The sequence below is a fragment of the Homo sapiens genome, chromosome 6, assembly GCF_000001405.40.
Source record: "Homo sapiens chromosome 6, GRCh38.p14 Primary Assembly".
NCBI lineage: Eukaryota > Metazoa > Chordata > Mammalia > Primates > Hominidae > Homo > Homo sapiens.
The window spans coordinates 88315051-88342767 of NC_000006.12; the positions used below are offsets into that span (position 1 = coordinate 88315051).

General features: G+C 37.2%; 1 long non-coding RNA gene across 5 annotated transcripts in view; it reads right to left on the minus strand.

The window, feature by feature from the left end:
• The window catches only part of LOC105377885 (uncharacterized), a 143181-nt gene that overhangs the window by 15312 nt on the left and 100152 nt on the right, over positions 1 to 27717 (minus strand). For 3 of the 5 annotated variants that reach the window (XR_007059669.1, XR_001744250.1, XR_007059670.1), the window contains exons 3-4: positions 8950 to 9095; positions 534 to 679 (exon numbers count right to left, since the gene is read on the minus strand). This is a non-coding gene — a long non-coding RNA (uncharacterized LOC105377885). Of the gene's footprint in view, positions 1 to 533; positions 680 to 7791; positions 8725 to 8949; positions 9096 to 27717 lie in introns of those variants that run through there. The other 2 variants (XR_001744252.3, XR_001744251.1) reach the window with 2 other exon arrangements.

Below are 27717 nucleotides of genomic sequence, written 5' to 3' on the forward strand. Positions count from 1 at the left end.
ATCATCATCGTCATTCACAGCCATCACTTATTGAGTGCCTGTTTTATTCCAGGCATGCCATATCTGGGATAGAAGTGGTAAATACACAGAAGCTTAAACACAAATTTAGAATCATTCTTAGCAGTCATACATGGGGAAGACAATTTTAAATTATTTAGCAAAATTCTTCAAGTCAAGTAAGTTGTTTTTCTCTGGTCAACTTCTAAGTATCCAGTTCCTTACATTAGCACAAAATAGCTTATATTTGGGTTTGAAATGTACATTGTGCTTGTGCTTTTGTTTAAATGTAAGTGTGCCCATTACTCTGGGAATTCGAGATTACTTCTAAACAAACGATAGCATTGCACTCTCTGAAAGTCTCTATTGGATGGGAAACTGTCTGGGTTCTAAACAACCTTCTTTTTTATTTGTATAAATTTATGGGGTGCAAGTGCAATTTTGTTTCATGCATAGATTGCACAGTGGTTAAGTCAGAGCTTTGAGGCATCCATCTCTCAAATAACATATATTGTACCCATTAAATAATTTCTCACCTTCCACCCACCTCCACTCCCTAACAACCTTTTCCGGGATGTCAACCGGCTCACCACTCCACCACGGCAGGGAAGAGCACAATGTCTTTGAAACTGATGCAACCTCCACTCAGACTTGGGCATCCATGCTGCACATTCCTGGATTCCTGGCTGGGCGAGGTCAGGGTGGGAAGAGAAAGAAGGGAGATGTTCACACTCTCCCAGGAAGAGCAAGTATTACAAATGGAGGATTATTTGGTTCTCTCTCAATCTCTCCCTCTCGCTCTCTCTCTCTCTTTCTCTCTCTCTCTCCCCCCGACCCCTCTATCCTCCTCTCTGTGTGTGTGTGTGCATGTGTGGAAAAAATATATATTCTTATCAAGAGATATATGCTAAGGTGCAATTTTCTGCTTTTGTCACAGATCCTTGTGCAAAAATCTTAATTAGACTGCTACTTTATAGAGTCACAACTGGACTATCCAGGCCCACCACAGGGTGTCTGCTGGTGTTACTGGCTGTCTTGGCACTTAGGTCCCCATCTAAGCTGTTTCCCATGTGCACCAGAGACTCTGCCTTTTCTGTGATTGTATGATGATAGTTGAGTTACTCTATAACTAATAGTAATTTATTTTAGTCACCTGTGGCCACCAATACAGATTTGAAATTCAAATGCACTCAGTTGAAAGTGGCACACTTACCCAGCACAGAGCCTTCTCTTCCTTTACTTAAAATTGCACTTGCTTCCAGTCCCAAGCACTCCCACCTCCCTTCCCTCATTTACTTTTCTTTTTTTTTCTCAAAACATGTTTCACCATCTGACCTATTATATGTTCTATTTATTTATTGGTTTGTTTTCCATGTTCTCACCAGAGTAGAAATGAGCTCTCAAAGTAAAGAAATTTTTTTCTTGTGTTGATTATTTTGTGCCTAGCAAGCATTAGCATAATATCTGGCACATGATAGGTACTTAATAAGTAACTACTGAGTCTAATAAATAGGTAAAATTGTTCCATAATCATTTGATAAATGCAAAAATAGTACAAGAAAGATGGGAACTTTTAAAGCTACAGAAAAGCACCAAGAAGAAAATAAAAACACCCTCAGCCAGAAATGTTAATATTGTGGCATGAATATATCCAATGTTTTTTTCTCAATTTGTCCTTGATTAACATTACACTGCACATTTTGGCTTGTAATCTGTTTTTCACATGTAAGCAGTTTCTCATATAATAAAATTTTCTTCTACTGCATGATTTTAATGGGTACATAATATTTTATGGTATAGCCATACCATAAGGTATTTAATTAGTCACTTGTTGACTATTGAGTTTTTTGTTTTGTTTTGTTTTGTTTTGTTTTTTGAGACTGAGTTTCACTCTATTGCCCAGGCTGGAGTGCAGAGGCACGATCTCGGCTCACTGCAACCTCCGCCTTCTGGGTTCAAGTGATTCTCCCTCGTCAGCCTCCTGAGTACCTGGGATTACAGGCACCCGTCACCAGGCCTGGCTAACTTTGTATTTTTAGTAGAGATAGAGTTTCGCCATGTTGCCCAGACTGATCTCGAACTCCTGACCTCAGGTGATCCATCGGCCTCAGCTTCCCAAAATGCTGGGATTGCAGGCATGAGCCACCTCGCCCAGTAGACTATTGAGTTTTATTATAGGAGACTTCTTTGAAAATCCTTTTTGCTGCCATGTATCTAATTCTTCTCTATAAGAAGCATATGGAATAAACAAACTGAGAATAAGTATCCTTTCTTAAATAAGATGTGTCATAGACCACATAACTCTTCCTAGAAATAAGCAGCATAGATGCCATAAAGCAAGTACTGGTTAATACTGAGGGTCAACTTGATTGGATTGAAGGATGCAAAGACCTGTTCCTGGGTGTGTCTGTGAGGATGTTGCCAAAGAAAATTAATAGTTGAGTCAGTGGACTAGGGGAGGCAGACCCACTCTCTATCTGGGTGGACACCATCTAATCAGCTGTCAGCATGGCTAGAATAAAGCTGGCAGAAGAAAGTGGAATGAACAGACTTGCTGAGTCTTCTGGCCTTCATCTTTCTCCCATGCTGGATGCTTCCTGTCCTCAAACATTGGATTCCCCGTTCTTCAGCTTTTGGGAACTTACACCAGTGGTTTGCCAGGGGCTCTCAGGCCTTTGGCCACAGACTGAAGGCTACACTGTCGGCTTCCCTATTTTTGAGGTTTTGGGACTTGGACTGGTTTCCTTTCTCCTCAGCTTGCAGACGGCCTATTGTGGGACTTCACTTTGTGATCGTGTGAGTCAATTATTTTAATAAACTCCCTTCAACTATACATCTATCCTATTAGTTCTATCCCTCTAGAGAACCCTGGCTAATACAGCAAGAGAATGTCCACAAAAAGTTTTCTTGTTTGCTTGATTGTTTACCTTAAATTCTTTATAAAGGAGGGCAAAACCTGCTCTTCAATGTCCCAAATGAGATAAGAGAATTTCCCACAATTTCTGCCTTAGGAAAACAATGTCTTCTATAAAGGGGATCAGATCAAACTCCTTTTGCTTCTTGCAGTGGCCACCCAGAAGTTGACCAGGTGACTCAGTCAACTTTGCCAAGGTCACCTCCATCATCAGATGAGGCCGTCTAGGACTCAGGACCACACAGGGAAATATGGACTTACCTTGGGCCAAGGGCAGGGGCAATGGGGATGAAATATGTGTTACTAGGTATTGCCAGACACTGTGTCTTACAGGGAGTAGAAAGCTTTCAGAGGGGTCTATGTCTACTAGTGTCCTGTAATTTTCATCTTATATCTACCAAAAAGATATGATCTTACCCAAAGAAGAAATTGTCCCTAATTTTAGCAGCCCTCTAACAGTGTTGCTTCTAAGTTTTCACATTTATAAATAGTGCTGCTTGATTATCTTTATAATAAATTTTGGTGCACATCAATGATTGTTTTCTGAGGTTAAATTTCTGAAAGATATGTTAATAAGTAAAAGAACATTGAGATTTTTGGCTTTGAAATTTTTGCTGGTGTGTCCTCAGAAAAGTTGTACCAATGTACCTACCATTAGCAGTTGACAAGCCTCTTTTCTTACAGTCTTACCAATTGCCAGTTATCTTTTTGAAAAAAAATTAAGTATATATTTCATACATATTTAAAAGGTTTATAGACAGGTTTAAACTCATTTCACAACATCATTTCTAATTAGGTGTGAGTTTCATAGACCTCAGATGGTACTGTAGTGGGACTTGAGACCATGTTACAGATAGCATCTCCAGAAGAGCTTCTTAGAGAGATTTTTATCTAGTTGCATCATATATTTTCAAAATATTTCCATTCTAAATATATGTCTGTATACTTTCAAGGAATGTAAAATTCAAAGTATGAGCTACCAATGACTTTCTTCACAGAATTGGAAAAAACTACTTTAAAGTTCATATGGAACAAAAAAAGAGCCCGCATCGCCAAGTCAATCCTAAGCCAAAAGAACAAAGCTGGAGGCATCACGCTACCTGACTTCAAAGTATACTACAAGGCTACAGTAACCAAAACAGCATGGTACTGGTACCAAAACAGAGATATAGATCAATGGAACAGAACACAGCCCTCAGAAATAATGCCGCATATCTACAACTATCTGATCTTTGACAAACCTGAGAAAAACAACCAAGGGGGAAAGGATTCCCTATTTAATAAATGGCGCTGGGAAAAATGGCTAGCCATATGTAGAAAGCTGAAACTAGATCCCTTCCTTACACCTTATACAAAAATTAATTCAAGATGGATTAAAGACTTAAACGTTAGACCTAAAACCATAAAAACCCTAGAAGAAAACCTAGGCATTACCATTCAGGACATAGGCATGGGCAAGGACTTCATGTCTAAAACACCAAAAGCAATGGCAACAAAAGCCAAAATTGACAAATGGGATCTAATTAAACTAAAGAGCTTCTGCACAGCAAAAGAAACTACCATCAGAGTGAACAGGCAACCTACAAAATGGGAGAAAATTTTCGCAACCTACTCATCTGACAAAGGGCTAATATCCAGAATCTACAATGAACTCAAACAAATTTACAAGAAAAAAACAACCCCATCAAAAAGTGGGCAAAGGATATGAACAGACACTTCTCAAAAGAAGACATTTATGCAGCCAGAAGACACATGAAAAAATGCTCATCATCACTGGCCATCAGAGAAATGCAAAACAAAACCACAATGAGATACCATCTCACACCAGTTAGAATGGCAATCATTAAAAAGTCAGGAAACAACAGGTGCTGGAGAGGATGTGGAGAAATAGGAACACTTTTACACTGTTGGTGGGACTGTAAACTACTTCAACCATTTTGGAAGTCAGTGTCGCGATTCCTCAGGGATCTAGAACTAGAAATACCATTTGACCCAGCCATCCCATTACTGGGTATATACCCAAAGGACTATAAATCATGCTGCTATAAAGACACATGCACACGTATGTTTATTGCGGCACTATTCACAATAGCAAAGACTTGGAACCAACCCAAATGTCCAACAAAGATAGACTGGATTAAGAAAATGTGACACATATACACCATGGAATACTATGCAGCCATAAAAAATGATGAGTTCATGTCCTTTGTAGGGACATGGATGAAATTGGAAATCATCATTCTCAGTAAACCATCGCAAGGACAAAAAACCAAACACTGCATGTTCTCACTCATAGACGGGAATTGAACAATGAGAACACATGGACACAGGAAGGGGAACATCACACTCTGGGGACTGTTGTGGGGTGGGGGGAGGGGGGAGGGATAGCATTAGGAGATATACCTAATGCTAAATGACGAGTTAATGGGTGCAGCACACCAGCATGGCACATGTATACATATGTAACTAACCTGCACATTGTGCACATGTACCCTGAAACTTAAAAGTATAATAATAATTTTAAAAAAAAATTCAAAGTATCAAAGTAGTAGGTAGCCAGATGCAGTGGCTCACACCTATAATCCCAGTGCCAAGGCAGAAGGATCACTCGAGGCTAGGAGTTCAAGACCAGTCTGGGCAACTTAGTAAGACCCCACATCTACAAAAGAATATATATATATTAGTCAGGCATAGTGGCGCATGCCTGTAGTCCCAGGTACTTGGGAGTTTGAGGCAGGGGGATTGCCTGAGCCCAGGAGTTCGAGGCTACTGTGAGCTTTGATCGCACCACTCCAGCTGGGCAACAGAGTGAGACTGTCTCTCTCGCGCTCTCAAAAAAAGTAGTAGGTAATTCTAAATGAGAATCCAAACATGACTATGCCATTATATTCAAACCCAAATCTAAGAACTTGGATTTTGTTTTGCTGTTTTTTGTTTTTTTTGAGACAGGGTCTCACTTTGTCACCCAGGCTGGAATGCAGTGGCATAATCACGGCTCACTGCAGCCTTGACCTACTGGGCTCAAGCGAGCCTCCCACCTCAGCCCCCACCCCAGGTAGCTGGGACTACAGGCATGTAGTAGTCCCAGTAGGCTAAATTTTTTGTATTTTTTTAGAGGCAGGGTTTTGCTATGTTTCCCAGGCTGATCTCAAACTCCTAAGCTCAAATGATCTGCCCACCTCGGCCTCCCAAAGTGCCAGGATTACAGGTGTGAGCTACCACACTGGGCCACAAGCACTTGGATTTTGGGATAAGCATAGTTTCTCTCTTATGGACAATTCTGTAGGGCTCTTTCATACATAGGTAAAATAGGATGCATAGTTATAGTGCAATTTTCTAGAGAATTTTGCAAAATACAACATTTTTGTAATTACTGCTGAAATACCTGGATTTATTTCCATGGATTCTAAGCCACAAATGCACATTTATTTTTCTGGGAACATCCCAAGAACTATAAACCCAAGCTTTTAAAAGGAATGTAGATCCTTTTTGTTATCAGCCAGTATTGCTGGGTGACCAGAGAATCTTTTTGCTCTTTGTTTGCATTCTTGGGGTCAGCAGGGAGTTCAAATTAGTCCAGCCCTATTGCTGCTTTTTGGCATACACCGTGCTGGCAATATTTCTTTTTGCCTCATCAGTCCCAGCTTGAATGTTCACATACAGCCAACTCTTCCCTGTACCTCCTATGAGATGGTCTGAGCCCATTTGAGCCTGATTTAAGGTTTACTTCATCTATAAAATGAGATTTCCTGCATCCCAAATCCTACATGATTGCATTTGAATCATCAAAGCTTTGATCTCCTTCATTTGGTTTGGATCTTTGATGTACCATGTTATCAATCATTAAAGGTATTTTTAATTTTTGTATCCACAGCTACAATTCATTTGTTTTTCCACATTTTTAACCTGTCTCATTTTCACCCAGGACCTGGAAGGCTGTTCCTTCCATGGTTGAGCTTCTTGGATCTACCTGTCTTGTTTTAGAAAGGGTTAAAAGTATAGAAAAGGCAAGAAAAAGTATAAAAAATTACAGAAAAGTTTAAAAGTGTCTATCCCCTGGTTTGCAATCTCATATTCCCAAAATGTCTAACAATATTGTTATTTGAAAGGCACTGTCCAAACAAACATATTGCCCCTATTGACCTGAAATTATAAATATGCTTATTTTTTTATATATTTTTTGTCCAAGACAAAAAATGCATAAACACAGCTGATTTTTTGTCCAAGACATGTTCACCAGAAATTTCTGTTAAATAAAAATGTTATCTTAGACAATAACGTATTTGTGTTTAATAGATTGCCATGTTATATTAGTAAGAAGCATGACCCTAACAAAATGTGGGAAAAGAGGAGAGGAGGTCAGAATATAGGATTCAGAGCATAGGAAGCACAGGTGTAAATGGAAAACTGCAATGAATGCCCCAAGAGAACCCTATGCTAACCCCTAGGGAGGCATCAAAGAGGACAAAGCACACACACATAGTAGCAATGTCTGTCTATTATTAGGGACCTAGGATGTTTCAGGAATGTGACATAGTAATTTTATGTATTCAAATTCATAAAACCTGATGACCTCTCTGGCATCCATGTGTGATCACTTCCTACACAGAGGCTCAGCAAAGCTCAGGGACTAGCCCAAGCTTGAGGTGCTAGCAAGGGCCAGAGCTCAAGCTGGGCATGGCTGCCTGGCCCAATACCATTTCATGTACTTGCCGCTTGCCATTGATGTCCCCAGTGAGGAGAAAGAGGGAAAGGGGAAGGGAAGCTTTCTGGGGACAAAGAGTTTACAATGCCTGGTGTCATCTCTGACATCTGGGACACTTAGCACCTAAGGAAATATGTAAAAATCAGCTAAAAGCAAAAGTTTAAGCCATGCAGTCTTCAGAGCTTTATAGATCACAAGGTTTATTGTAGCCAAATATAAAATGCAGTCTCATGTCTTTCAGATTCAATATTCTTTTTTGGAGGAAGATGTAAGAACCTGAACTTGTTTATTAATATTTCACCTTGTTACTACTTAGATACTTTATACTACTCATATACTATAAAAAAGTATTTACAGCAGATTTAATAGGCTAAAAATGACATCAACAAAAATACAACATAAATAAAAATAGTGGCATGAAATGAAATCACTGTTGAGATTAATCCAAAAGGGCACACCATCGGTCTGATAAACTTGCTATGAGTAAGCTCTTGTCTTTCCAGTATGGGACAAAAGAACAGGGTGATAACATATCAATTCAGTGTGCATAAAATGAGGTAATTCAATTGCTTAGATAAGAATCAGGCAAAAATATGTCCACAGGTCCATTAAATGAAAGGAAAACATCAAATTAATATTGATGTTTACAAGTAAGGCACCATGCCTAGAATATAACACATGCTTAATAAATGGCCATTATTAACATGATCATCCTTGAAAAAAAAAACAGTTGCTGTGGTTTCTGGTTTACAATGGCATCTCTTCACCAGTGACAAAACATATCTATGATGCAAAAGCAAAAATTCCTTATCAATACTGAAAACTAAAACTGACATATACTCTATTGCAAATAATGAGAGAACAGACAATGAAATATAAGCCCCGTGGTCTAAGTTGAATAAAACAATTTGTATTCAATGCATGTCATATTGCCAGAAACAGAGCAAATCTGATGGTTAAAAATAAAACAAAAGATACATTTTCCCCTCCCAACCTGTGACCTCTGGCTCAGAATTATAGTCTATGCCAGCTAACAAACTAAGCAGTTCACTCTTTTTGATGAGGTCAAAATAATGCTCTCCAGACCAAAATATCAGTACCTCAAATCCTAGAAAATAAAAGACAAGAAAGTAGGATTTAGTCTGGTATGACGCATGGTGCCCCAACATGGGTGATTCAAACAAGTCAAATTCTGCCTCAAGAACAAAATGAGCAGAGAACAGTGAAAAGACTAGCAGCAAGGAATGAGGCTTCTTGGGTGTCAGAAAAATAGCCAATAGGTAAGAAGATAATCTCATCACCTCTGTCAGTGCTCTGTGCAATGAACACCTACCTGTCCGAGTCTGAAGATGAAGCCAGAATTAGGTATACAAGATGATCACCAGCTATAGACCCCCATGGAGAGTGAGCAGAGCCAGAGGCAAGCAAACAACTGCCTATTGTCCAAGTCTAGGTCTGGATGGAGCTCTCTGATGGAGGCTAAGGAGAAAAAAAATAGTTCAAATATATTGCAGAACCTGGGGAAGAGATTTCAAAACAAACAAAGAACATACTTCTGAGACAAATATACTACTAAAGTCAGAAGAAAATTAGTAAACTGGCACTCTTAATTGCATACTAGACACAGGATCTTTATGATGTAAGAGCAGACAAGTCTTTACAAAATCATATTAGTTAGAACCAAAATTAATTGGGTTAAGATGTCCTGTTTAAACATAACAAAACCAATCTGCTTAGGTTAAGGGGGGAAAAGTAATCAATTCTATCTGCCTATAAAAGATATACATAAAGGAAATAATACGGAAAGGTCAGAAACAATGTATTATAGAGACTGAGAGGGGAAAAAACAGGCTAACCATAATTGGAGTAAATGAAAAAGGGGGAATCACAAAGATAATGCCAAAGGATTCAAGATAAAAGCATGGAACAAGTAAAAAAAGATCATTTTATATTACAAAAGGTAAAATTCATAATAAAGAGATTTTATATGTGTGAATCTGTAAGCCCTATATAATATAGCATCATTATAAATTCTAAAAACTGTTAGATATGCCAAGAAAAATGGACAAAAACCAATTATTGGAGTGCTAAGCTAAAAGCACATCTTGTGCTCTATAAACTTCTTTCACAATATCATGCAAATTTTACAAAAACTGTCATATATTCTCCACCAGAAACCTCAATAGTTTCCAATAAAAAGAAAACAAACTAGACATATGATCTGTCTACTTTGTATTAAAACAATAAATAACAAAAGTTTAAGCAACAATGAAAATTTTAACTTCTTTATAACAATAAACACATAGTTATCCTCCTCAGAATGATACTCTAAAAACTTTTAAAAACTATTTTTTAAAAACAGAACAATAGGTACATAATAGTTTTAGATGATAAAAATGGAAACAATAGTCTCAATGTTTAAAAAAGGAAAACAAGTAAGTCATTCAACTCTTTAGAGAAAAATATCAAAAAACCTAAAGAAAGAACTAAAGTGAATAAGATGTGTTTTAAACAGTCACACAAGTAAGCAACAAAGGAAGCAGAATAAAGTTGACAGAGCTCTGGCCGACTGAACTGCAGAGAAAAGAACAGTACAAGGAGTGAATAGATATAAGTGAGAATAATACGGAGAATGTAATGACAGACATAAATTTTAAAATTATAAAACAATGTGTTGTATTACTCAATGCTAATATTATAAAATTTCAATGAAATATAAGCCTTTTTTAAAAAATATAAATTATTGAAATTGACTGAAGAAGGAGTCAAAATCAAATAGACTCACAACTACAGTTAACACAGAAAAGGTGTAAAAGAAGTAGTGGCTCTGAAATCAAGTAGAGTTTTTTCACATGTTCAAAGAACAGCTAATGCTACACAAATTGCTCCTAAGAACAAAAAGATATAGGTAGCTACATAATTTATTTTATAACGCCAACACAGCTCTGATACTCAAGCAAAAAGAAAAGCTAATCCCTTTTTGATATATCCCAAAACCAGAAATAAATTGCTAGCAGACTAAATTCAAGGATATGTTATAAATCACCCAAGTGAAATTTATCCCTAGAATTCAGATCTATTAAATAAATTCAATAAGAAAAAATTACGGGATAGATAATAGACATGCTGAAAGAGATTTTTATACAGCCCATTCTTATTTTCTTAAGGATTAGAAAACTAGAAGTTGAAGACTTTCAACATTATTAAATCACCAAAGAATATCACATTTCAAGATAAAATACTAGAGGCATGCCTGTTATGATCAGGGGCAAAGCAAAAATATCTGCTATAATGTTATTGTACAAAATCATACACTGAGTTCAAGATAATAAAATAAAATATAAAGCAACCAAAACATAAAATGTTTTAAAACATGAAAAATAGGTGACAGCTTACTATTGTTTACTGATGACTTGATTATAGGTCAAAAACTTCTGTTGTGTCATTCACAGTCCTGAGTAATCCTATCACAGTTCTTTGGTTCGTTTGTTTTCTCTCCCATCATGGTCATTCAGCCACGCATCCTCCTCCGCCTAAGCAAATTATCTGCCCCTCTCTCATTAGATGGGAACCCTCTCAACTTCCTGCTACTCAGTCTACCAACCTACCTGCATCTGAACACAACCTCTTTCTTCTCCCACAAAATCCTAGTGATCTCACCCTTCTCCCTCCATCCTTTCCCACCTTCTCAGGAACTTTACATTATGAATTATCCCTTCTTGCTTTGACAATATCAACCTCTCCTTACTCCTGTTTCTCTTCAATTACTTCTTAAATATGATAAGTCTCTCCCATCTTTCCAGACTCCCTGTTCCTTCTCTTCCAATTCTATTTGGTTTTCATCTTCATGGCCCCTTCTTCTTTACAAAAATCTGGCAAAATTATTTATATTTATCACCCTCATTTTCTAGCCTTCTACTTGGTCCTTCAACCCATTCTGACCTGGTTCCATCTACACTACTCCTCAAAAGGAACTGTTTTAAAGACCATCAATAACCACCATGTCACTAAAGGTAATGAATATTTTTCAGTCTTTATCACATCTGTCGATCACTTCCTTCTTGAATTCTTGTTTTTCCAGGGAACCACACTCTACCGGCATTCCTCCATTCGTGGTCTCTCATCCTACTTGTCTGGCTTCTAAATGTTTGGATTTCTCAAACTTGTGCCCAGATAACAGTTTTCACTTTGTAATCTCTATTTAGGTTTTATTATCCATACCTGAAACTTATAAAGGAGAGCTATGCTGTCCTATGAGGTAGCCACCAGCCATATGTACCTACTGAGAACTTAAAATACGGCTCATCTGAACTGACACATGCTGTAAGTGCATACACAGATTTCAAAAATTTGGTATAAAAAAGAATGTGAACTATCTCGGTATTTTTATGTTGATTACATGTCAAAATAATATTTTGGATATACTGATTAAATAAAATGTATTATTTTGTATGGCTAATAGAAATTTCTAATTATGTATGTGGCCTGCATTATATTTTTATCAAGCAGTGGACTGATCTGGATAGACATTGGCCATTTCAAAATTTATGACTCTGGATAAGACCTTTTGTTTGAGCTCCAGATAACAAAATCCAACTGCTTACAGGTTTGCATTTTCATATTACATATTGTGGTGGTTATTAACATATTCTTTCAGCTCCAGATCAACTTTTTTATATTCTTGTGATGCTAGGACTGGAACTCTGCTGTTCGCATTCTTTCTTGTCCAACTGGCTGCCTTTAGTTCTGCCAGGGCATGCCCCAGCATCACCAGCGATAGTTAATAGTTCTTCACCCTGGCTGCAGCAGTTGGTTCCAGATTTTGTTCAGCACTCCAAAGCCAGCTTCATTCCCCAACCCCTCCTCCCTAAGAGTCCAGCATCAGCCAGTGCCAGGCTGGAGGTTTGGTGGTCTGCCTCTCAGCTCTGTAGGGTCCTTCCTCAAGCTCTAGATTCTAAAAACCCCAGCCTCTTCCCTTTTTCCACTCAGCCTTATGAGGAGTAGCTGCTTTCTCTTGTTACTAACTCTGAATTGCTTCAGTGTTTCCCTTTTGTTCTTTAAAATTTTCTGATACTTATTTAATAAATTCTGCAGATTATAATACTGTTAATAGAACTTGTGTGGTTTCTGGTTTTCTGAATGGAACTTGACTGATATATACAGGTGGTGCAAACAGAGCATGTTCAAAATGAAATTCATTCTCCCTACTCCAAAACTTGATCCTTTTTCAGTGCTCACTGTCTTAATAAATGGCATTAATAGCCACCCGGTTTCTCACGCCCTGAGGAAGCTCTGAGTGTCATCCTGATACTCATACATCTTCCATTAGCATGGCCTGTTTTACTCCCTAAGTATTATTGGCATCCACTCAGTTTTCTTCCTTTCCACAGTCAGCTTTATTGTCCAGTTTTTCAGGGGTCAACTGCTCTGCATCCACTCTTTATCTCCTTACAATCCATTCTTTGCACTGCAGCTTGATTGACCCATTCAATAGGCAAATTTGATTGTGCCACTTATCTCTTCAAAAGTTCTTCCTGGAAAGCCCTGGAAACTTTCACCTACTAACTCCTATTCATTCTTCATCTCTCAGCTGAAAGAGCCCCACCTCACATAAAGTTATTCAACATCAAGACTTGAATACATGAAGAGAAATAATAAATAAATAAATAAATAAATAAATAAATAAATAAATGGGATTTTTTCTAAATCAATTATAAATATAACATAAGGCTAATCAAAATGACCAATGGAAGGTGGCATAACTTTGACACTAAAACTTAATAACAGTAGCCCAAAATGTTAAACCGATCTCACTTATTAACATGGAAGCAAAAAATCTTTAATAAAGTAGTGGAAAATAAGATCTTTTCCTTTAATGAAAATAATACGCTATGGCCTAGTAGGATTCAGGAAAAGAAACCAAAATACTTCAACATCAGGAACTGAATTAATAACATTTATTTTACCAATTGAATAAATAAGAAATATGTGTCAATCACTATTTGCATTTGATAAAATGTATGATTTATTCATAAAATCTCAACCTGAAGACAACATCGTATGTAATATCAAAGCATAAAAACCAAGAAAAGAATGACCACGGTCTGTATCATCAAAGAGTAATGCAACAAGACCAAAAGAAAATGAAAGACATAAATACCAGAGAAGAGATAAAATCCCTGTTATATATAGAAGATAGGGTTGTCTCCCTGTAAAACCAGTCAACTGAGTTAGCTCTTATAAACATAGTGAAACCAGTATCTTTATGATATACCATTAAATTCAGTTAAAAGAATTAAAAGAGTCATTCCAAGTGGAAGCAAATATATTGAATATTGAAGAATAGACTTATCAAGTAATGTGCTACCGCAATATATTTTTTAAGCTACAATCAATTTTCTTGTAGGACATAAGAGAAATTTGAATTATTGTAGAGATGCCATGTACTTGAAAGCTTGAACGATATTAAAATGCCAATTTCTTTCCAAACAAAATCTTACACAAAAGGAATTTGACAAAAGCCAAACATTTCTAAACTTACGTAAAATAAAAATTACTTAATGAGAAGAGCCAACATTTTTGAAAAATAAAAATAAGAAATGAGGCTTGTCTTGTCAGAATTTAAAATCCATATATTATAGAGTGAAAAATGAATAAGCCCAGTTCAGTGGTGTGTGCCTGTACTCCCAGCTACTCTGGAGGCTGAGGCAGGATTGCCTGAGCCCAGGATCAAGTCCAGCCTGGGCAAAATAATGAGACTCTGTCTCAGAAAAAGCAAAATAAATCAGAAACAGAAAAGTCAAATACTGCATGTTCTCACATGTAAGCGGGAGCTAAATAATGTGTACATATGAACATAGAGTATGGAATAACAGACATTGGAGACATGGAAATGTGAGAGGATAGGAGAGGGGTGAGGGATGAGAAATTACTTAATGGGTGCAATGCGCACTACTTGGGTAATGGCTACACTAGATTGCACCATTATGCAAAATATCCATGTACCAAAACTTTGCTGGTACCCCCTACACCTATAAAATAAAAATTTTAAAAATTTTAATGAGATTAAAAGATTAAAAATATAAATATAAACTTTATTTAAAAATTATAAATAATAGGAGAAATGGCATAGAGGTGGGTAAAAAAATCAGACAATATAGAACATATGATTTTAGTACATAATAAATTTTCTACTTCAAAGCCATTGGTAAGTGATAGATTATTTAATAAATAGTATTGAAATATCTAGCTACTCATTTGAGAAAAAAGATGAATCTTTTCCATATCACAAAATCAAGTAAACTTCAGAGATTTAAATGTTTAAGAATAAAAGTTAGCTGGGCGTGGTGGCGGGCACCTGTAGTCCCAACTACTTGGGAGGCTGACGCAGGAGAATGGCATGAATCCGGGAGGCAGAGCTTGCAGTGAGGCAAGATCGTGCCACTGCACTCCAGCCTGGGCAATGAGCGAGACTCTGTCTTTAAAAAAAAAAAAAAGAAGTAAAAGCATTATATGAAAATTTATATAAAAATGAGGATATAGGAATGTTCAAAACAAAGTGAAAACTGTAGGAAAGAAAATATTGAAAATTTGACTACCTAAAAATTAAAAGTATACATACATTTAAAAAACACAAACAAACATAGGGAAAGAAACAAGAAAGAAATATTTGTAATATTTATTACAGAAGAGAACATGGGAGAGATATCTTACAAACCAGGAAAAAGATATATAACCCTATAAGAAATGAACGAAGAATATAAATTGGCAAAATAAAATATACGAATATTCAAAATGTTCAACATCACTAACAATCAAAGACCCTAACTGAAATTGCCTTGACATAACTTTCCCGCTTTTATTAAATTGGTAGAGACTCATAAATTATAGTAAACTGTGATAAGGATGTAATGAGACTAACACTTATTACAAACTTGCAGTAATTTTAAAAATTTGGTATCACTCCTTTTGCAATTAGGTTTTACAGTGTATATCATAAAAGTTTAAACAACTTTTAAGGAAATAATTTAAAATGTGGTAAACAGTTTATATATTGTCTAAGTATATTATTAAAGCATTTTTATTATTGAAAATCATTAGCAATCAATCATCAGTTATAATGGAATGATTACATATGGGATATCCACCATATATCCATTAAAATTCACATTTTGGGGAAATACGTGGTAATGTACTGATGTATCAGTTGAGATAGTTTTAGTTCAAGTAACAGGATCCTACTTTAGTAACAACCATCATGTTATAAGGAAACTGGGCTGTCTTACAGAACCAAAATAAATGCTGAATGAGGAAGCCTTAAGAAGGAACCGGCCAGGCACGGTGCCTCACACCTGTAATCCCAGCACTTTGGGAGGCCAAGGCAGGCAAATCACCTGAGGTCAGGAGTTCGAGACCAGCCAGACCAACATGGTGAAACCCCGTCTCTGCTAAAAATACAAAATTAGCTGGGTGTGTGGTGGCGCATGCCTGTAATCCCAGCTATTTGGGAGGCTGAGGAGGCAGAGGTAGGAAAATCGCTTGAACCTGGGAGGCAGAGGTTGTGGGAGCCGAGACTGTGCCACTGCACTCCAGCCTGGGCAACAAGAGCTAAACAATGTCTCAAAAAAAATAAAAATAAAAGAAGAAGAAGAACCCAACTAGGGGTTGCTCTGAAGTCCTCAGCAGCAGGAGCTCTCAATTCTTCTGGTGTGAGCACAACGATTCAGATGTGTCCACTTAACCATCATCCATCTCTTAATGCCTCCTTTCAGTTGCTAGAAGGCAATCTGGTTGGTGCAGCTTTGGTTACTTTCTCTCTGCTTGACTCAATCAGCCAAGCAAAGATTCAAGGTGGGTAGCATCAACGCTGCCTTGTAAGACAGCCACTCCAGTAAGTGCCTAGTACAACCTATGTTATAAGCCTCATTTTCCAAAACAAGGTCTAAAAGTGTATAGCCTAGTTTCACATATGTGGGTGTATATATTAAAATATTGGAGGAATATGGGAAGAAAATACTTCAAAATGGTAGCAGCTGTTGTCTATGAGTGGCAAGTTTATGAGTCACTTTTTATTTTCTTCACATCACCTGTATACACAGTAAAATTATTATTATAGCAATATAAATTTGGCTACAATTCCATTAGCCATTGGCTGTACTCCTCAGCTAAGTCCCCATTTTCAAACAAAAGTATGCTAAAAAGGGGAGTGTGGGGTGGCGGTGATAGGAAAATCAAACAGAGGGAAAGCCTGCTAAGGAAGTGCCAATCTCTTCTTGAGAAGTAGAAAGCTTAAAATGTGTGTCCGGTTGTTCCCGGTATTCTCATAGCCCGGTGTGTTAGTCCATTTTGTGTTGCTGTAAAGGAAAACCTGAGGCTGGGTGATTTATAAAGAAAAGGGATTTATTTGGCTCACAGTTGTGCAGGATATACAAGCATGGCGCCGGTGTTTGCTCCACTTCTGATGAGGCCTCAGGACTCTTCTACTCATGGCAGAAGGCGAGGGGAGAACAGATGTGACACATGGTGGGAGAGGGATTGAGAGAGGGAGAGAGAGAGGAAAGAAAAAAGAGAGAGACAGAAAGAAAGACAAAAAGAGTGGGTGGTTCCAGTCTCTTTTAAAAATAACTAGACTTGTGTTAACTCTTTACCTCAGGGAGTTCACTAAGCCATTCATGAGGGATTCACCTCCATGACCCAGACACCTCCCACTAGGTCCCACCTTCAACAATGGAGATCACATTTCAACCTGAGATTTGGAGAAGACATACTTCCAAACTGTATCACCTGGTTTCTCCAGATTGGATTCAAAATGGGCACCAGCTCATTAGAAGTTTCCTGGAATTACTGCTGATGTCCTGCAAGTCCCAGTCAGCCACAGGGCCCAGAATCATCCTCATCATTATTGTTAAATTGTCCATACTGCCCAAAGCAATCTACAGAGTCAGTATGATGTCTATCAAATACCACTCACATTCTTCACAGAAATGGAAAAATTAATCTTAAAAATGTATATGGAAGCAGCTGGGTGTGGTTGCTCATGCCTGTAATCCCAGTACTTTGGAGGCTGAGGCAAGTGGATCATTTGAGGTCAGGAGTTTGACACCAGCCTGGCCTACATGGTGAAACCCTGTTTCTACTAAAAATACAAAAATTAGCCAGGCGTGGTAGCATGCCTGTAATCCCAGCTACTCAGGAGGCTGAGGCAGGGGAATTGCTTGAACCCAGGGACAGAGGTTGCAGCAATCGCACCATTGCACTCCAGCCTGGGCAACAGAGCAAGACTCCATCTAAAAAAATAAAAAAAATATGTAGAACCACAAAAGACCCAGAATAGCCAAAGCTATCCTAAGCAAAAAGAACAAAACTGCAGGAGTTACATTACTTGAATTCAAGTTATACTACAGAGCTATAGTAAGCAAAATAGCATGGTATTGGCACAAAAACAGACACATAGAACAAAGAAACAGAATAGGGAATGCAGAAACAAATTCATTAATCTTCAGTGAACTCATTTTTGACAAAAGTGCTAAGAACATACACTGGGAAAAAGACAGTCTCTTCAATAAATTGTACCGGGAAAACTGGATATCCATATGCAGGAGAATAAAACTAGATCCCTGTCTCTCACATATACAAAAATTAAATCAAAATGGATTAAAGGTTTAAATCTAACACCACAAACTATGAAACTACCACAGGAAAACATTGGGGAAACTCTCCAGGACACTGGAGTAGGCAAAGATTTCTTGAGCAATGCCCCACAAGTTCAGGCAACCAAAGCAAAAATGGACAAATGGGGTCACATCAAGTTAAAAAGCTTCTGCACGGCAAAGGAAACAATCAACAAAGTGAAGAGACAACTCACAGGATGGGAGACAATATTTGCAAACTGCGCATCTGACAAGGGAATAATAATCAGAATGTATAAGGAGCTCAAACAACTCTATAGTAAATCAGATTATTATATTATCTAATAATCTGATTACAAAATGGGCAACACCTGGGGGTGGTGGCCCATGCCTGCAATCCAAGCACTCTGGAAGGCCAAAGCAGGAGGATTGCTTGAGCCCAGGAGTTCAACACCAGCCTGGGCAACATGGCAAAACCCCATCTCTATTTAAAAAAAAATACATAAAATTAGCCAGATACGGTGGAGGCTGAGGCAGGAGGATCACTTCAGCCTGGGAGGTTGAGACTGCAATGACCCTGGTCACACCACTGCCCTCGAGCCTGGGAGATAGAGTAAGACCTGTCAAAAAAAAAAAAAGAGGCAAAATATCTGAATAGACATTTCTCAAAAGAAGACATACAAGTGACAAACGGGGATATGAAAAGGTGCTCAACATCGTTGATCATCAGAGAAACACAAATTAAAACTACAATGAGATAACATATCACCCTAGTTAAAATGGCTTTTATCCAAAAGACAGACAATAACAAATGCTGGCGAGGAAGTGGAGGAAAGTGGGAGTGTAAATTAGTACAACTACTATGCAGAACAGGTTAGAGGTTCCTCAAAAAACTAAAAATAGAGCTACCATATGAACCAGCAACTTCACTGCTAGGTATATACCCAAAAGGAAGGAAGTTAGTATATTGAAGAGATATCTGCACTCCTGTGTTTATAGCAGCACTATTTACAATAACCAAGATTTAGAAGCAACCTAAGTGTCCATCCACAGACGAATGGATAAAGCAAATGTGGTACATATACTCAGTGGAGGACTATCCAGCCATAAAAAAAGAATGAGATCCTGTCATCCGTAACAACATGGGTGGAACTGGAGATCACTATGTTATGTGAAACAAGCCAGGCACAGAAAGACAAACATCGTATGTCCTCACTTATTTGTGAAAGCTAAAAATTAAAACAATTGAACTCGTGGAGATAGAGAGTAGAAGGATGGTTAACAGAAGATGAGAAGGGTGATGAGGGTAGTGGGGGAAGTAGAGATGGTTAATGGGTACAAAAAAAATAGAAAGAATGAAAAAGACCTAGTATTTGCTAGGACAACAGGGTGACTACAGTAAAAAAATCACTTAATTGTACATTTTTAAATAACTAAACAAGTATAACTGGATTGTTTGTAACACAAAGGATAAATGTTGAGGTCATGGATACCCTGTTTACCCTGATGTGATGATTACACATTACATGCCCGTATCAAAATATCTTATGTAACCCATTAATATATATACCTACTCTATATCCACAAAAATTAATAATTAAAATATACAGATATATTTTTACATCAGAGCAGTCATAGACCACTAGCTGGCATCAAGCCACTCCTGGGCCAGGCCAGTTTTAGATGGCCTTGTTGGATTTCCAGAACACCAGGTGAGTCAGTTACACAAGCTTGCTCTGGTCATTTTGCATGTTTGATTATTTTAGAGCCATTCATCACATAATGAGGTTTTGCTGCATTACTTTCTTTCCTCATTTTTAAAAATTCACTTTCATTAATTGTTTAAATAGATGATTCATTCACTTCATTCAGATCCCCATTGAAATAATGGATCTAGGCAATGTTTGGCAATTTCTGCTAACATCACATTTTCTGTCTCTTGCTAGAACACTGTATATGAAGTCTTCTTGTCAAAATATCAAAACTATATCTTCTCAAGCCTCCATATCTAACCTTCTACTTACAGATAAACTGGGGATAGTGGAACCTGCAAAATGACACCATGGAAGCAATCAGCAAAAGCCAGAGTATTGGCAAGTTTACAAGACGGTCTGGTGTCTTAAAAAATAAATTTCAAGGGGGAAAACAAAAAAAAAAAAAAAGAAAGAAAGGGAAAGTTATAGATGATTAAAAGAGATTTAGTAATCAAACACCATCAAATCATGATATGAACAAACCACTGTCAGAGAATGAGGGATTTTGCAACTGACTGTTTTATATTTTAAGTTATTGTTAAAATATTAAAATACAATAATCACATTTTTATTTGTAGTTTTTAAAGTTCTCATATTTTAAAGATAAATACTAATATTTGTGTGTTAAATTATATGATGTCTGGAATTTGCTTCAAAATAATCCCACACGACAATAATGGGAGAATTTAACACCCGACTGTCAACACTAGACAGATCAACGAGACAGAAAGTTAACAAGGATACCCAGGAATTGAACTCAGCTCTGCACCAAGTGGACCTAATAGACATCTACAGAACTCTCCACCCCAACTCAACAGAATATACATTTTTTTCAGCACAGCACCACACCTATTCCAAAAATTGACCACATAGTTGGAAGCAAAGCTCTCCTCAGCAAATGTGAAAGAACAGAAATTATAACAAACTGTCTCTCAGACCACAGTGCAATCAAACTAGAACTCAGGATTAAGAAACTCCCTCAAAACCGCTCAACTACATGGAAACTGAACAACCTGCTCCTGAATGACTACTGGGAACATAACAAAATGAAGGCAGAAATAAAGATGTTCTTTGAAACCAACGAGAACAAAGACATAACGTACCAGAATCTCTGGGACGCATTCAAAGCAGTGTGTAGAGGGAAATTTATAGCACTAAATGCCCACAAGAGAAAGCAGGAAAGACCTAAAATTGACACCCTAACATCACAATTAAAAGAACTAGAAAACCAAGAGCAAACACATTCAAAAGCTAGCAGAAGGCAAGAAATAACTAAAATCAGAGCAGAACTGAAGGAAATAGAGACACAAAAAAACCCTTCAAAAAATTAATGAATCCAGGAGCTGGTTTTTTGAAAGGATCAACAAAATTGATAGACCACTAGCAAGACTAATCAAGAAGAAAAGAGAGTAGAATCAAATAGATGCAATAAAAAATGAAAAAGAGGATATCACCACCGATCCCACAGAAATACAAACTGCCATCAAAGAATACTACAAACACCTCTACGCAAATAAACCAGAAAATCTAGAAGAAATGGATAAATTCCTTGACACATACACCCTCCCAAGACTAAACCAGGAATAAGTTGACTCTCTGAATAGACCAATAACAGGAGCTGAAATTGTGGCAATAATCAATAGCTTACCAACCAAAAAGAGTCCAGGACCAGATGGATTCACAGCCGAATTCTACCAGAGGTACAAGGAGGAACTGGTACCATTCCTTCTGAAACTATTCCAATCAATAGAAAAAGAGGGAATCCTCCCTAACTCATTTTATGAGGCCAGCATCATCCTGATACCAAAGCCGGGCAGAGACACAACCAAAAAAGAGAATTTTAGACCAATATCCTTGATGAACATTGATGCAAAAATCCTCAATAAAATACTGGCAAAACGAATCCAGCAGCACATCAAAATGCTTATCCACCATGATCAAGTGGGCTTCATCCCTGGGATACAAGCCTGGTTCAATATACACAAATCAATAAATGTAATCCAGCATATAAACAGAACCAAAGACAAAAACTACATGATTATCTCAATAGATGCAGAAAAGGCCTTTGACAAAATTCAACAACCCTTCATGCTAAAAACTCTCAATAAATTAAGTATTGATGGGACGTATCTCAAAATAATAAGAGCTATCTATGACAAACCCACAGCCAATATCATACTGAATGGGCAAAAACTGGAAGCATTCCCTTTGAAAACTGGCACAAGACAGGGATGCCCTCTCTCACCACTCCTATTCAACATAATGTTGGAAGTTCTGGCCAGGGCAATTAGGCAGGAGAAGGAAATAAAGGGTATTCAATTAGGAAAAGAGGAAGTCAAATTGTCCCTGTTTGCAGATGACATGATTGTATATCTAGAAAACCCCATTGTCTCAGCCCAAAATCTCCTTAAGCTGATAAGCAACTTCAGCAAAGTCTCAGGATACAAAATCAATGTACAAAAATCACAAGAATTCTTATACACCAATAACAGACAAACAGAGAGCCAAATCATGAGTGAACTTCCATTCACAACTGCTTCAAAGAGAATAAAATACCTAGGAATTCAACTTACAAGGGACATGAAGGACCTCTTCTAGGAGAACTACAAACCACTGCTCAATGAAATAAAAGAGGATACAAACAAATGGAAGAACATTCTATGCTCATGGATAGGAAGAATCAATATGGTGAAAATGGCCATACTGCCCAAGGTAATTTATACATTCAATGCCATCCCCATCAAGCTACCAATGACTTTCTTCACAGAATTGGAAAAAACTACTTTAAAGTTCATATGGAACCAAAAAAGAGCTCGCATCGCCAAGTCAATCCTCAGCCAAAAGAACAAAGCTGGAGGCATCACGCTACCTGACTTCAAAATATATTACAAGGCTACAGTAACCAAAACAGCATGGTACTGGTACCAAAACAGAGATATAGATCAATGGAACAGGACAGAGCCCTCAGAAATAACGCCGCATATCTACAACTATCTGATCTTTGACAAACCTGAGAAAAACAACCAATGGGGAAAGGATTCCCTATTTAATAAATGGTGCTGGGAAAACTGACTAGCCATATGTAGAAAGCTGAAACTGGATCCCTTCCTTACACCTTATACAAAAATTAATTCAAGATGGATTAAAGACTTAAACGTTAGACCTAAAACCATAAAAACCCTAGAAGAAAACCTAGGCATTATCATTCAGGACATAGGCATGGGCAAGGACTTCATGTCTAAAACACCAAAAGCAATGGCAACAAAAGCCAAAATTGACAAATGGGATCTAATTAAACTAAAGAGCTTCTGCACAGCAAAAGAAACTACCATCAGAGTGAACAGGCAACCTACAAAATGGGAGAAAATTTTCGCGACCTACTCATCTGACAAAGGGCAAATATCCAGAATCTACAATGAACTCAAACAAATTTGCAAGAAAAAAACAAATAACCCCATCAAAAAATGGGCAAAGGACATGAACAGACACTTCTCAAAAGAAGACATTTATGCAGCAAAAAGACACATGAAAAAATGCTCACCATCACTGGCCATCAGAGAAATGCAAATCAAAACCACAATGAGATACCATCTCACACCAGTTAGAATGGCAATCATTAAAAAGTCAGGAAACAGCAGGTGCTGGAGAGGATGTGGAGAAATAGGAACACTTTTACACTGTTGGTGAGACTGTAAACTACTTCAACCATTGTGGAAGTCAGTGTGGTGATTCCTCAGGGATCTAGAACTAGAAATACCATTTGACCCAGCCCTCCCATTACTGGGTATATACCCAAAGGACTATAAATCATGCTGCTATAAAGACACATGCACCTGTATGTTTATTGCGGCACTATTCACAATAGCAAAGACTTGGAACCAACCCAAATGTCCAACAATGATAGACTGGATTAAGAAAATGTGGCACATATACACCATGGAATACTATGCAGCCATAAAAAATGATGAGTTCATGTCCTTAGTAGGGACATGGATGAAATTGGAAATCATCATTCTCAGTAAACTATTGCAAGGACAAAAAACCAAACACCGCATGTTCTCACTCATAGACAGGAATTGAACAATGAGAACCCATGGACACAGGAAGGGGATCATCACACTCTGGGGACTGCTGTGGGGTGGGGGTAGGGGGGAGGGATAGCATTAGGAGATATACCTAATGCTAAATGACGAGTTAATGGGTGCAGCGCACCAGCATGGCACATGTATACATATGTAACTAACCTGCACATTGTGAACATGTACCCTAAAACTTAAAGTATAATAATAATAAAATTAAAAAATAATAAATAAATAAATAAATAAAAAACAATCCAGTAGGTGTTAGGAGTATAGATAAGACAAGATTGGCCGTGAGTTAATAAGTGTTGAAGATGGATCACGGGCATAGGGGATTCACTGGACTACTCTATTTTTTCTATGTTAAAACATTTCCATAACAAACATTTAAAAAGAAATGACAATGTTTTCATTCTATACCCCTGAATGCCTCATTTCTAGTTCTCCCTAGGTAATAGCTATTTGTAGTTTCTTATGCATCTTTCCGGAGTTTTTATGTGATATATTCTTTTTATAATTAGAAACATTAAAATATATACTATTTTTAAAAAACAGATTTCTTGGGAAATACATAACTTTCAACCTAGCAGTTGACAGTTATTTGAGTTCATTCTACAAGACTAATGCTCATTTCCTTTCAGACTTCCATGGACACAACAGCAGATCATCGGGACCAGTGTAAGTGCTTGAAAATAATCACAAATAATGACAGCAGACTCATTCCTGGTGACTTGTTTCCACAGGAATGAGAATAAATCAGTGGCAGAAAACTCTTAAATTTCAGCCTGAGGGTCATAGGAGGCCATTCCATTTTCAAAGGGTTGTGGCTATTTATAGCTTTTATGTTTGGAGGGGATGAAAAAATATCAAACATAAATTTATTTCATTGAAGAACATTACCTAATCCTAAGTATGAAAACCAAGCCATTACTCAGGGAGATCTGACAAGCATTCTGCCTATACATGTGGCCATGGCAGTGGGTGGCTGCTAAACCCCATCGTTTTTAGCACAGCTGTGATTGTTCTGAAATTCTGCCATTCCATAGTATTTTTGAGTGAAAGGTAGATTTACATGGGTTTTAAAGAATGCTGGTTTACAACTTTGAGTCATACTGAGAGGGCTTTCTGTGGGATAATTGAAATGCAATGCATTGAAAAGCTGAAAATTGGGATGAACTCAAATTAATATTTGATGAGAAGCAATACATAAAGAGTTTGAGGAAGGATTGCAGTCTCAAAAACTCAAACGAAAATAAGTTTAGGGAGAAGTTATTTAAGGATATTTTAAATAATTTAAATAATTATAGTCAATCCAAATGCTGTTGGTACATCTGTCTTTTTATTGTTTAGTAATACTAGATTGTGGTTGCAGAACAATACGTGTTCTCTTCTTTATGCACATCCAGCAGCATGAATCTTGGCAATATATCATCTGGGAAAATTGTTTTTTGGGTGATGAATTGCCAGGTTAAGGGTATTATATTCCTGCTATCATGCCTTCATTATCAGAGCATTTAAAAAATATATTTCTATATGATACAGGAGTATTTTTGTGATAAGAATTAATATAACACCTTAACAAGCAGTTTAAGAAAGTCAACATGATAATTTTAGATTTATACTCAACAATGTTATATAAGCAATGTAAATAATAACATTAATAGCAATATTTTTAAAGCTGTGTAAATAATACCTACTTATAAAAGTGAAACACAAGCAAAAGAATAATACAAAGGCATTTTTAGCAACAAATTCATCAAAATAGACAAGGATAAAGAAATTTCATGTGTAGCACCAGAGGACAGCATAATTAATTTCACTTTTTTTGGTTTGGAAAATCCATGTGTGTGTGTGTGCATGTGTGTGTCAGAGGGTACAAAGGCAGAGATACTAACGTGTATGCAAAGAAACCATAAACTCATAGTTTTTTTGCTCTGGTTTAAAGCAGTAAGTAATTACTCAAGCTATGCAATGAATTTTTATGTAGGTAAAATTCAGGACTTCTTTGAGATGTGAGACATTTAAAACTAATTAATAGTTATTAATATTGGAAAATTCCCAGGCTTTAAAAAAGTATTTTTTTTAATAGAAGCATGTGGTAAAGACAGAGTGTTAGAGAAGGGCTCACCATTTTCTCTGTTAAGTGAAATACAAGACAAAGCAATGAAAAAGGACCACTTACAACTACCATGAAGCCAGCTAACAAAAAGGACAACTACCAGCCAACAAGTCCCGATCAAAGGACTCGAAGAGCATAAACAATGGGGCGGGCATGGGGATGAAGAACGGTGGATGTTTGTAACATGGAAAAAAACTCTTGGCAGTGTTGCTTAGATTATTGTGTTGTTTCTTTATATTTTTCCTTTCAATTCCACATTTCTCATTTAGAAAACACTACGCAAATATATACAAAGGCAATACTATATTTCACCTTTTGTTTACTTGCCCTGAGACTTATTTATAATGTAATATTTTCACAACTACTAGCCAAATGGAGTTCAAGCTTTTAAAAGTATAAAAATTCAAAATGTACTTACTAATTTTTAAGCTTTTGTTGTGTATATTTACATGTCCACACATGTATGTTTAGACTATTGTTTTTGAGTATTATTCTGATAATCTTTCATACTTGTAAATTTGTTAACTAAAATTGATTTGGGGGAGAATTTGAGTTACCTTCTAATAGTAAATACTCATTTTAGTCCTTGCAGTGTACAAAAGAAAAAAAAAACCTGAAAACCTTGGGTATCGATTGCCATGTACGTTCTAGCATGCACTGTCTATATAAACCTTTACAACCCTCCTTTCCCACAGATATAATGCCCCCATCCATAAAAGACCTGGCACCATGCTAGCCTGTTACAGGCGCTTGACAAATATTTGATGATCTGTTGAAGAAATTGAGGCTGAAGAGCTATATAATTCATCCAAAGTCATCTGCTTTGTGTGTGACAGATCTTGGATTCAAAACTCAGGCTTCTGATTCCAAACCCTTTCCCCTCTCTGGAGTTCCTTCTTTTAGATTCAAAATATGTGCCAAGTATTGCACTTGAGTCCACTTAAAGATAAGAGAGTTACCTGAGGAATTGTTTATGAAGATACTGTATCAGAAAAGAAGCAACTTTTTAATACAGGACTTTGAATATATCTCTGGCTTTAGAATTCAGGAATCATAACTCCCCAGCCCAGGAAAAAAAAAAAGCAGAAAAAAAACAAACCCTACCAACCAGGTTATAAGATCTGTGCCCTTTATGTGAAAATTGTTCAGTGGCATATTATAGGCATATGTCTTCAAGTGTACTTGGGAATCAGAAGATGGACTATAATAATGGGAAATGGGTTGCAGTCCTTCTCCAGATCATAAAATGCAATCGTTTATGCCAGGATGACATATGGGGCTGGCGGCCTTCCTGCAGTGAACTAAATTCAGAGGAATATTTCAGGGTCTTCTTCCCAGGGAGAGCACTGAGTAGTTGGGCATTCATCCACTTCTTATTTTTCAATCAATAAATATTTGTCAAGTGCATTTTAAGTACATGTAATTATATTTTAATTAACATTTCCTCGTCTGCAAAGTGAGGACAAAAATAGAACCTATCCTATAGAGCTGTAAGGATTAAATGTGAGTGTGTGCAGAGTG